Below are 13,288 nucleotides of genomic sequence, written 5' to 3'. Positions count from 1 at the left end.
TCAAATACTTAGACCTGTTAGTTAATTTCACTATTGGTCAAATATCCAACGACTGTGAATGTAGAGTTTTAAAAAAAAGAATTGGAAGAGATTTGTATTAGCTTATCCATATAATACTTTATGTTTTAATGACAGTCTACCGACAAAATTTTAAAAAGCTTATCAGATGTCTATCAGATGTATCCATTGCTCTACATAAGCATCCAAGGTTTTATTAACCCTTGAAGCTGTTTAATTACTTTAATGAAATAAAAGCATATAAAAATACACTGATATTGAATTAAGTGTAAGATGGAAATGAAATATTGATAGCAAATTATGGCTGTCTATAGGCTATAGCCACTGTAGCTATTATAGCTATAGTTTTCCATCCAGAGACAGGGTTAGGAGGATTATGAATCAGAAGTCCAGTCATATCAGAAAACATCATTTTCAACTCTTTATATTCAATCTCAAGTGTAAGACGGGATTAGAAACCTCTACTGAGATATTCTTGCTGTCTTCTGGGCCTCTAGTCTAATAATAAACTTTCTTAGAATTGACTCTTCTAGATTCTTTGCCCCTCTATCTAAACTTCTCTACTATCAACCCCATCCCTTAAGCCCATTATCTAATAGTTAAGAAAATAAGGGACTATGGAAAAGTGAGGATGGTTGGCTAAGAAGCCATATGTCCCACACTTCAAAGATGCCTCCTTGGTCTACCATTGCAAGATTGTCGTGTGTGTGTGTGTGTGTGTGTGTGTGTGTGTGTGTGTGTGCGCGCGCGCGCGCACGCGCGCGCACATGTATGTAGAGAAAAAAGAAAAATATTTTATGAATGTGTGTTAATATCTGAATAATAGTCTATATTTTAAGAAATATTAATTTTTAGTTCCAAATGTAGTTTCACAACTTTAAAATTGGGGGAAGAACATGTCTGTTTTCCAGATTCTTTTATGAGGTGACAGTAACAATTTAATAAAAGCTATGAAAGAATGAATGAATGGCCTCAACAATATGAGTCATGTGACTCCACAACACATTCCTTCATCTTGTCTTTTGTCTGCTTACTTTTTTAACTAAAGAGTTAATAAAAGGGCCAGGCGCAGTGGCTCACACCTGTAATCCCAGCGAGGCTGAAGCAGGCGGATCACCTGAGGTCAGGAGTTTGAGACCAGCCTGACCAACATGGTAAAATCCCGTCTTTACTAAAAATACAAAAATTAGCCAGGCATGGTGGCAGGTGCCTGTAATCCCAGCCACTAGGGAGGTTGAGGCAGGAGAATCACTAGAACCCAGGAGTCAGAGGTTACAGTGAGCTGAGATCATGCCACTGTACTCCAGCCTGAGCAACAGAGCGAGACTCTGTCTCAAAAAAGAGTTAATGATTGCTCTTTAATTTGTCTCTTCTATTAAGTTCTTTAATATTTTAGTTATAAAGGTACCAGATCCTTTGGAAATGCACTTGCCAAAGGGGGGTAGACCTAAGCAAGAATATAAAAAAGATACTGATTCTGATAAGCTAAACTTAGGGTAGCAATTGCCTACAATAAATAAAATGACTTTCATCTGATTGAGATATGAAAATTTCCATTTCTAGTTTTCAGATCCTCCTGGCATAACTGATGTATTTGATGGAGTCAGTAATACATCTGTTAAGAACAATCATTTTCAGCTGATCTTTATAGCTCTCTCAGGTCTAATAAAACAGTACTTGGAGCATTTTTGAAATAAGAATCTAAGACTCAGAAACAGTTTAATATCCCTAATAATTCTGGGGTGATAGGGCTGTGAGGGAATTATGATCAGGAATTATAGTAGTTACTAGACACCCATCTGTAAATGCTATCCCTAATAATTCCCAGACAAGAGTCTGGAATATCCAATTATCCAAAGAAGAGAGATGTTCTTATATTATAACACATTGTTGGGGTCCTTAGACATTCCTCTCCTCTTTGTTTCTTCCAGAATAGCACTTGGATAAGTGTCAGGGTTCAGCATGTGACCTCTCAGACTCTCAGGGTTTGGCTTCTGGTTCAACATTGCTAGCTGTCAACAATGATTAAGTCCCATAGTCTCCCTAAAGCTAAGATTTCTCCTTGTAAAAAGGGAAGGGAAAATTACACTACTACATTACTACCACAGAGTGGTTATGATGATTAAATGGAACAATCCCCACATAGCACTCAGCACAGGACCTGGCAGTTAATAAATGCTCATTAAGTGCTACCTATTATTAGACTTTTATATGTTAACTCTTGAAAGAAAACCTTAAAAACCAACTATCGTAGTCCCTTTTCCTAAGGATGAGATGAATGAGGTCCAGAGAAGCAATAACTTGCCTAAAATCTGGTTGGTAGAAATACTGAGACTAGAACCCTGGTCTCTTTATTTCAGTTCAAAGATCTTTTCCCTGCATTATATTACAAGGCAGGTAGGACAGAGAATATCCTAGTAAGGTCCTGGTTGGTATTTCCCAAAAGCATCAGATCACAACAACAGCTAAGATAAAAAAGAAAATGCAGAAACTGAGACAAAACATAACACCTTAATAGAGAGAAAGAACTGTAGGGCTACAGTTAAGGTGAGGATTTAGAGTTCAATCAGTTTGATCCTCATTTTGTCACTGGCTGTATTTGTGGCCAGAATATCCATTTACTTTGTCCCTATTCTTGGAATATAAAAATAGAAAGAAAAATATTATCAAATGACATTGGGCTGTTGTCAAGAAAAGCCAATAAAAATGATTACTCTAGCAATATAAAAGTGCTCCATAAAAGCTTAATAATCAACAGTATTTAAGAGGTATACCACTGAGTATCTGACAGGGTGCCCATGTTTTATAAACAGCATTTATGGACTTCCACAACCAAAATTTTCATTCTTTGTGAGTTGTGTATAAATTTAGGAAGTGGTTGAAACCACATTTCAAATCAAAGCCGCTCACGAGGCACCCTGCCAAATAAGTGTAAATATCCTTGGAAAATCTCACATCTAACACACAGCTTGGTAGAAGTGGACCTATCTTTTGGAAAGCTGAAAAATAGATGGTTACCTTGGGTCTTAGGGAAAATATTGTTCTGGGAAACATAAATAATTTTTTAAATTCAGAAATATGAGCTGGGTATTTCATTTTCTTATACACAATTATCATTCTAGAAATTCTAAATTTTGCATCTATTCTTTTCGTTAATAATTTGAGTATCAGGACATACATTATATGCAACGTTTTTATAGTAAGCAGCAGACTGCATCTTAGCCCCTGAAGCACTGCCTCATTCATATTTTGTCCAAAGTGCATTGGCATAGGGAAGTGCCCTGTACCTAACTGCAGAATTTAATTGAGATTATGAATATGATTGTTTTCAATGTCATTCCCTGAATTTCATACTACCCCCATACCAAGTAAGAATTCATTAAGGTCAAAAGAGTACATCTTGTTTTTGTTTTGGTTTGGTTTACTTTTTCTGAGACAGGGTCTCACTCTGTCACCCAGGCTGGAGTACAATGGCACACAATAATGGCTCACTGCAGCCTTGACCTCCCGGGCTCAGGTGATCTTCCTGCCTCAACCTCCAGAGTGGCTGGGACCTCAGGCACACACCACCACACTCTGCTAATTATTTATTATTTGTAGAGATGGGGTCTCCTTCTGTTGCCCAGGCTGGTCTCAAACTCCTGGACTCAAGTCCTCCTGCCTCGGTCTCCCAAAGTGCTGGGATTACAGGCATGAGCCACCGCACCTGGACAAAAAATCATATCTTATTCATCTTTGTGACTCCAATACCTAGCACAGAAGAAAGTTAATATAAAGGGAAGGGAAAAAGAAAGGAAGAATAGAAAAGAAGGAGACAGAATGGGAAGGAAGGAGGGAGGAAGGAAGGATAAAAAAGAGGAGGAAGAGAAGCAGGGAGACACTAAGTTAATTTTTCTATTCAGGGAATGGCAATAGGAAACTCCTCCCTCTTTTCTTGATCATTACTGATGGCATCAATTTGCAAGATGTACTGAGACCATGAAAATAAAATGCAGCCAAGATCAACATACAGAACATTTAAAGTCACTCAGAGCTACACTTCCAACTAGCATCAGTCAAAGACCCTGTGGCAGCCACCCAATCAATATCACTGATTGATAGCCCTCTGGATAGGTTACCTTGGTTGTACCACATCACTGAATATGACCACAGCAGAGTCCTCTACTGGGGAAAATCAATAGGCTACCATGGAGAAGAGGAGACGTAAGAGAGAATTCCTTCATTGAGAGCCAATGAGCACAGTGACACTGCTCAGCAGGAGACCCCAAGGATATAATCACTAAAGGGGGCTTCAAAGTTCTCTACTCATGACTGAATGGGGCAGTGTCCCACAGATGTTTTGAACACTCCTCTTCCTCTAAAGGAATCATTGTCAGAGGTGCGCTGAAATGTTTTGGTCCCAGGCACGTAAAAAGCTGGGCAGGCAGCGTGGCAAACTAGGGAGAGGTGGACATACTTGGAGAATTTAAAACAATGACAATAACCAACCAACTTCAAAGATCAAAATACAAATGACATCCCCCCATAACAAACAGGTTGGTAGTAAATAGTAAAAGAAGTAAAATAAATAACATTTATAGTTCCCCCAACATTTCCATAGGTATTAAAGTAATAATCATATCTAAAATTTTTAAGCCTGATATTCACAGAAATTATTTTCTTAGATTTTCTCTTTGTACCTATTTTTCCCCTTAACCCTGTTGCACCCTCTTAGATTGTCTGTCCACGCCCCTCCAGGCAGCTGTAGAATCCTAAAGCAACCCATGGTAGCCACCCATTTCCGAACAGTACAGCCCAGTGGAAGATGCTGCTACTTTAACCCAGGTTAAAATGAAATACAGTGGAAGGCAGAGGAAATGCAGTACAGGGCACCTGGGAATTTGGACCTGATATGATGTGATAGATCTCCTTGTCACCTCTACCTTCTGTGATCCCATGAGATTCATCACAGCGGAGTAATTTGTGCTTGTCACATAAGAGCAGGCAAGGCTACTAGATACCTCAACCCAGAAAGAAACGACAGGCAGCATTTCTGAATCTAACCAAGAGGACAGTACCTACCCAACTCTAAGAAACACTGTAAATTGCCCTTTGTGATTACCTTCAAGTTGAACTTCACCTATTGTTTCAATCACCTTTGAATGCCCATGATAAAGTCTGATTAATTAAGATATTTTTCTGTCAGAATCTGTAACATTTAAGGCAGAGAAGAGTGCTGTTTGCTTTCACTGACCAGACACATTTTTAATCAAATAAATGAATAGAATAAGCAAATATGCAAGAGAAATATATAAATGAGTGAACAAATTATTATCTATAATTTAAATTTCATCAATTTATATTCAATATTTGACATTTGTTGACAACTTACTACATAAAATATTTCATTAATTCATTTGCAGTTAGTTATCATAACCTGAAACATAATAAAACTTAATTTCTTTTAAAATATATTATATATTAGACTTCCTACTGATTCAAAAAATCCTTCTATCAACCCAAATCATAAGCATATACCTAAAATCACATCATTTCTCTGTTTCCCACAACTTTAGAAATCCCAGTTAAAAAATATGGTCTGTGCCATGTCAGATATGTTCTGTATTTAAAAGCATGATTAATTTCTAAGATGTATGAAAATGACACATTAAGTAACTTGTGGATATGCAAAGTGATTTCCAGACATCATACCTGAGGCTCAAACCTTAAATCTAAAGAAAAGTAGTTAAGTTTTGCTTTGCTGAGTAAATTAAAACCCACACCCCACTTTTTATCACATGCCTTACCTTTTCCAGGGAAAAATTCCCATCTTCTAAACCTCAATGTCTGGCCCCTGGGACAGTTGTGTGTTAGAATAAAGATTCAAAATGAAAAGAAGCATACGATTTATCCAGAGCTGGAATATGCCAATAACAATGTTAATTAATATAATCTGGCATCATATTCATAGAATTTTAGGGATACGATGAAAGAAGTAGACCTAAAATATCTAGAATAGTCACCTACCATATTGTAGTATCTGATTTTGGGGAAATGTATATCAAGGTAAAAGTCCAGTCATTACTTTCTCAATCTGATGGTCAGATGCCAAAACATTCCTCAGACCACTCTCATGGAGTAGGTTTTCTCCCAAGGAGCACACGGTGGTTCAGTCCGTATTTGGACCCTTGGATGACAAACATCATTGGTTAAACCGAGGCGCTTCTAAAGGAGTAAACCCAATCTTTTAAATGGACACAGAAGAAACTTTATCTTTGAGGATCTTTGGGGCTGGAAAGTATTTATCGGTCATATTAGACTAGAGAAAGATCATGGAAACTGTTGGCCTCCTTTACCACTGTGGATGTGTTGGGGTGAGGGAAGGATCTAGTCTCCAGGGACGAAACTCTGTTGAATTTATCTTGCTCTGGGAATATTCTATTCCAATTCTGCACAATTGAGCAGTAATAGTGAAAACCCTCCAACTTTCAAGTTACAGCTCCAAAATGAAGAGAATCCAGTACCTTTTTGTAATCATAGGAACCCTCAATTATTTATGCATATTGTAGAAAGTCGTGTCTTCAATAATAAAATGATTATTTATGTTTGACTTCACAACATATTCTGTATTTGGGGTTTTTCTTTTGTTTTTGGCAACATCGACAGACTTATTTTCCTAATTATGTTTGACCCCAATTAATGTTACAATTAACATTCTCTGAGCATACCCACATATACACACACTACTCACCAACCGATGGTGGAGAGAATGCCCAGAAACATAATGTGAGATAGGGAAGGGTGGTCTGAGATTATACTTTTGCTGCCAACAATTCACACACTATATAATCTGGATCAAGAAGAGGATGGCTGTATTTATACCAGGCATTTTCTAGAGCCAAATAATCACATTAGCTAATTCCCATCCATAAAATATATGTAGCCTCAGTAATTACTTATTAAACTAAGTCTATCAGCACACAGAATACTTTTTTAAAGCAGATTTATCTAGTTTGACTGCATATATCAATCCAATTAAGGTAATTGCCAGATCTTTCTAGTACTGGCTGCTACATAGACCTGCCTGAGTCCTCTCTGGTAGTCCTCTCTGGAGATATTTGGGAATGTAACCTTAGCTCTTAGTCCTGCCACTTTGGGAAATTAAGCACAGCTTCCCTTGATTTCTGGAAAACATCTTCTAGACTTTTTCCTCTCCCTCAATGACCCAGGTGGCCTGGTCTTCCGAATAGCAACTCCCTTCCCCATCCACCCATTGCATCTGACCCTCGCGGTTGCTCACCTATGTTCTCTTCAGCTTGGCTGCTCTCCCCAGTCTCCGTTGGAGGCTGGGCTGTTGCCTTGGCAGCAGCATCCTCTGCGGCAGGGGTGGTGGCAGCAGCAGCAGTGACAGCAGCAGGCACATCGGCTTGTTTAGGCTCCTCCTTGGCTGGGGCATCTTCAGCCTTGGAGGACGGCGAGTTATCAGTGGAAGCTTTAGTGGCACTTTCTGTCTCAGCTGAGCCGGCCTTCTCCTCTGAGGATGCAGGAGCCTGGGGGGCTGCCTGCTCTGTGGCAGCATCACCCTCCCCCTTCTTCTCCTCGGAAGGAGTTTCTCCTGCTTTGCCGGGCTCATCAGGCTTGGAGCCAGTGGCTGGGGCTGCTTCGGCAGTAGTGGTGCCTTCTCCCTTCTTCTCCACCCCATCGGCAACAGGGGCTTCATCCTTCTTATTAGCTTCAGCCTCAGCAGCTTGGACATCATCCTTCTTCTCTCCTTTGAGCTTTTTCCTTGTTATGTGTCCACGGAAGCTAGCCTGAATTTTGGTTGCGGCCTTATGAGCTTTATCTTCTGGTTTGATACCATCTTGTTCAATCTTTTGGTCGTCATCATTTTTTTCAACCTTTGTCGAGAAAAGAAGGGAAAAGAGAGGGCTTCAATGACATTCTTCTCCTTTAAATCTCAGCATTCAACAAGTATTTATTAAGTGATTTATTTTGTGCCAGGCACTGTTTTTGGAGTTAAGAATTCAACAGTACCCTGGAAGTTCAAATCAAACCTCATCTTTCTCCCACAGTATTGTATGGGAAAAGTAATGTCTTTCGGACCTTCCAGAATCACTGGCCATTTTTTTTTTTTTTTTTTTTTTTTTTTTTTGAGATAGAGTCTCAGTCTGTCACCCAGGCTGGAGTACAATGGCGTGGTCTCAGCTCACGGCAACCTCCGCCTCCCAGGTTCAAGCAATTCTCCTGCCTTGACCTCCCAAATAGCTGGGATTACAGGCATGTGCCACTACACTCGACTAAGTTTTGTATTTTGTAGAGACGGGGTTTCATCATGTTGTTCAGGCTGGTCTCAAACTCCTGACCTCAGTGATCCGCCCACCTCCACCTCCCAAAGTGCTGGAATTACAGGCGTGAGCCACCGCATCTGGCCACTGGCATTATTTTCTACGTATTTTCTTTCCCCGGCTCAATGTTGCTCCATGTCAAACTTAAACCAGCCTTTTTTTTAGAAGTACTTTGACAACTCAAATCACATTTACAAGCTGGGTGCAGTGGTTCACACTTGTAATTCAAGCACCTTGAGAAGTGAAGGCAGGAGGCACTTGAGCATAGGAGTTCGAGACCATCCCTGGCAACATAGTGAGACCCCATCTCTACAGAAAATTTTAAAATTAGATGGGTGTAGTGGCATGCACCAGTGGTCCTGGCTACTCAGGAGGCTGAGGAAGGAGGCTTACTTGAGCCTGCGAGGTCGAGGCTGCAGTGAGCTGTTGTTGTGTCACTGCACTTCAGCCTTGGTAACAGATTGAGACCCTGTCTCAAAAAAGCAAGCAAACCAGAAACAAAAGCAAAAAATAAATCACATTCACCCCAGGTTTTTATTAAAGAGCTCTGAAAGATAGAGGGTTTACAGGGTTTTTGAGAAGGACTTTGTATAAAACTTAATGGTTTAAAAAAATATTTTGCAAAAGTCTACTTTCCCCCAAGTTTTAAGCCTGATAAGGAAATTAATAAATTCAAGACAAAGAGTATAGTCAAAGTTTAAACCATAAATCCCATCAGGATTTTATGCAAAATGTAAATGAGTTCCAGGTCTTTAAGGGATTTGTTCAGAATGTGACAACTTAACAATGCTGGTCACAAAATAATGTCTAACTTTCTCTTGCGTGTGGTCCAACATTAGCAATAAACTTACCAAACCTTCAAAATCTGAATTAAAAAAGACCACTATTCCTGAATTTTAAAAAATGATGGGAAACACTGTTTCTCCTTTTGAAAAAGCAACTTATATTAACTAAGTCACAATTCTTTATTCCCAAAGCAATTGGGAACCTAAAATGTGTTCGTATTATCATCAATAGAGCCATCTTAGTACTAAAGACAAGAGACTAGCATATAGAATGTTACCTTTTGATGGCAACATTTGTAGCCTAATATATGCTGCAAATGACTATTTTCCACATGAAAATTAATTCAGAGGATAGGAACAGCAGGTATGGTCATAGAAAGAATTGTGTAGGCAACTACATAAAATTTTATCCAGTTCCATTGTTTACCATGGTGCCCCAACATGGCTACTGATAGTCTCCATTCTTAGATTTCTTTAACTTGAGCATTGAACTTTTGTTCACTTTTGTGAACACTGTTCTAGCAGAAATAACAGCAAAGAACAACACAGCAACTTTCCCTCAAAAGACCACTAATAAAAGAGTGTTTACCATGTAACATGTTCGGCGCCTCTTCTCAATCTTGGATTGGCCTTGACCTTTGCTCCAGTTTAGGAGGTAAGCTAATACAGAACTACTCAGGACAAGTTTTCCACCTGTCAAACCAGCTCTGCCCCAGTGACCCAGCTCCTGCTAATCATGATGTGGGGCTGTTAGACATTCTTTGGACAAGCGTACAGACCTATTGCTGCATAGGACCATCAACATACCAGTGGATACACAAAAGTATTTTTGAAAATGAGCTACATGTACAAGTAAAAGCAGGTCTGATAATTTTCTCAGTCAAATTCAAGTCAACTTTTCCTTTTTCCTTAGTTAACCATGCATGTATATACACACAAAGATTAAAGGAGTAAATGAAAAGCACTTTGGAGAGGCCCATCCTTCTCCCTCCTCCACTGCTCAGTTCTCTGATGTACTATCACCTTCTCGCTAACCTGCTGCTCTTGATGACTCCTACTGGGATGAGCACAGCCCAATGTGAGACACAGGAGCAGCTGTCCCTGCCAGGAGTTCTCTGCTCAGAGATGGAAGCATAACCCTGTAAAATTAACAGTTGTGAATGGAGCATGGAGCCAAGATGTTGATAATTTATTTTACTCTACCTTGAGTTTTCTGAATGAAGCACCATCTTATATATTAGGACACCTGCACTTGGGCATTGATGCCAACTGGTTCTTTAATACAAATACTGCTGTTTGTGAAAGTAGACAAGTCAATTGTTTCAGAAGGAGCAGGTGTCCACAAAAGACTCTCTAGTGACTCAAGAAAGCTAACATTTTAGAGCTCTGTCTTTTCTTTATGAACATAAGGAGTAGGGGGATGAAACTCCTGAAAAGCTGGAAATCACAAAGAGAAGGAAGCTGAGAGTCTACATGATATAAACAAAGAAACTACAAGGATAAAGAAAGGGCTCTCAATTTTCTCTCCCTCCTCTTTCTCTTTCTCTCTCTCTCAATTTCTTAAAGCATCTGCAACTTCAATTTTCTAAAAAATCAGAATTTAAGCTTCTGAACACAGCATCTATGTTAGAATGACTTTTTAGAAAGGCTAAGACTAGACTAGGGTGCCAAGATTGTGAGACAAACCTCACTTAAACAACCCAGAAGTATAAGAAATTCAAGGGAAGCAGGAGTGAGCAGAAACGGGGAGAACCATGAAAAACAAGAGTTAGGAGAGAGAGGTGAAGACAGTCTTATAAGAGCCAGGTACCCAAATAAGTGACTATACCCAAAAAGATGCTCAAAGTACTCCACACGCATGTAGCTCATCCTGGAGAAACTGCTGGACTTCATCATTAGAGATTTAGGAAAACTAAATTTTAGAGATTAGTTGGGAAAAAAAAGACAATTAATAGAAGTTTTTCCAGATAGCAGTAAAGAAACAGACGCAGGGAAATGAAAGGAAAGGAAAGGAGAGGAGAGGAGAGGAGAGGAGAGGAGAGGAGAGGGATGTGGGAAGGAGATGAAGAAATGAAAGAGGAGAGGGGAGGAAAGGGAAGGAAATAAACCAGGCTAAGAAGAGGTCAGACTTCAGTGATTGAATAGAGACATCCATAAATAAAAATATTTTAAGTTAATACTGGGTTTGAAGCTAGACACCACTGGATTTTGTTTGTGTGTCTTTCTTTTGTATTTCTAATGATTCTATTAATATTCCTTAAACTGCAGGTTATTTCTTGGTAAAATTCTTTTCACAGTACAGTATAAAAGTAAGTGGACTGGGAGTGTATTTTGTTGTGTATTTTGTTAAGACAAGGAGAAAAAGAACATTTCCCAAAACTGGCTATGTGGAGTAACCCCAGGTTCTGAGAACGCTTTGACCCTTTCCCCACTAGAAATAGAAGCGCTTACTTAAGATGAAGGACATTCAAGCCCAGAGAAACCAGACTACTCAGCACATTCAGCAAAATACTTTCACTTTCCAAAAGGGACAGCCCTGGCCCTGAAAAGTTAAGTGACTTGCCTAAATTCATACAGCGAGTGAGGGAGGCAGTGGCCCAGCTTGTATTTGACCTCAACTCTTCTCCCCTCCCACCTACTTCCAAGTCCAATTTTATTGCATGGCTGACCTGGAATAGCTTGGACTTACTTGTAGTAGATAATCCATAAGGCTTCACATCAGCATTCTCGTTGATTTATTCACTTAAAAATACTCAGTGCCTATGTTAAGCACTATACAAATGCTACTGAACGGAAGGATACTGTGTCTACCCACATAGAATCCTTTTGAAAATACACTTAAACCACATCATAGTGCTTTAACAATAAATAACTTCCCAGGAATTTGCAGTAGACACCTGATCTTACACTCTTCTTTTCAAGTAAGGACAACACTCTAAAACTGTGAGTTAAGATGAAATGTCCAGAAAAGGAATCCTGCTATCTAATGGCTAAAAAGTCAGCTCATAAATGTCACTAAAGATAGATTTAGTTTTTAAACTAAGTCTTGCCACAAATAAGCTTTGTAATGAACTCTAATGTTTCTGAGGGAATTTCAAAGTTATTTCATTTTTACACAGAATTGTTGATATCTGCGAATTAAGTAAAGAGGACATTCCAGTGCAGTACATTATAGGTAGGAAGGGTGTCATTACGAGTTACCATAAGTTTTTCAGGAATCTTTATTGTTATGGCTTAATATTTTTTACTGACTGATTTGTTTGAGAGCTCTGCAATTTATGAAGTCTTAAAGGAAACCAAGGTGTAGGACATCCCTACTTTTTAAACAAACATTAAAATCTCAGATGAATATTGGTTGGAAAAAATGAAGAGTACCATTACACTAACTTGTTGACACTAATGAAACTTCTAAATCCATTAGATGAATGAACAATGATTTTAATTGATATTTAAGAATTACAGATAAGAAAGCCAGAAATAAGAAGTAATTACTTAAGTATCCAACATTGTTGCTCTGGTCTTCTTTTCCTTTGGGGAAAGGAGGAATGGACAACTTAAGATTTATTCTAAAATGTCCAAACATTTGCATTCAATATGTTACAAAAGAGCTCTAGGCAAAAATCCATGAATGGCTAACTTTCAGAACTAAAAATAACATCATCCATTCATCTGGGATACCTCAATGCATTTCACTTTTCCCAGTTATCATAGGAATGCCTCAACCTTCCAAGCAAATTAAAACTTGGCCCTATATCTACTTCTGCTAGCTATAAATAGTACCATTATAATACTTAAATTTTTAAAAAATAGTATTGAATTTTAAATGCATTACAAATCATTGATGTACACATATTCTTCTTTCTGAGAACATCTTTAGTAAACCAAAATATAGTTCATTTGATCAAGCAAAGTTATTTTTGAGAACAAACTTGAAAGGCCGGAGATATCCTAAGCAATGTTTTTTTAAATATGTTGTAGTTTTCATGCCTATCAGAATCTTCTACAGCCTGTAAAGGAACCAGAATAAAGTGTTGATAAATATAAATAAAATCTGGGAAGTACCTACTTATGGCCCACTTTATTTTTTATTAATAATTTATTGAGGTGAAAGTCACATAACAAAATTTCACTCTATTTTTAAGCATCATTGATACCATGGCA

At 38.5% G+C, this 13,288-nt stretch overlaps 1 protein-coding gene across 2 annotated transcripts in view; it reads right to left on the bottom strand.

Moving 5' to 3' along the window:
- GAP43 (growth associated protein 43) overlaps positions 1-13,288 on the bottom strand; it is a 97,974-nt gene that overhangs the window by 37,576 nt on the left and 47,110 nt on the right. For both annotated transcript variants that reach the window (NM_001130064.2, NM_002045.4), the window contains one exon: positions 7,298-7,895. In NM_001130064.2, the coding sequence (NP_001123536.1) occupies positions 7,298-7,895 (598 nt within the window). The remainder of the gene's footprint in view (positions 1-7,297; positions 7,896-13,288) is intronic.

Source organism: Homo sapiens, chromosome 3 (genome assembly GCF_000001405.40).
Source record: "Homo sapiens chromosome 3, GRCh38.p14 Primary Assembly".
In the NCBI taxonomy this organism is placed as follows: Eukaryota; Metazoa; Chordata; class Mammalia; order Primates; family Hominidae; genus Homo; species Homo sapiens.
The sequence above is the reverse complement of the archived record's forward strand: the minus strand, read 5'-3'. Positions and strand labels throughout refer to the sequence as shown.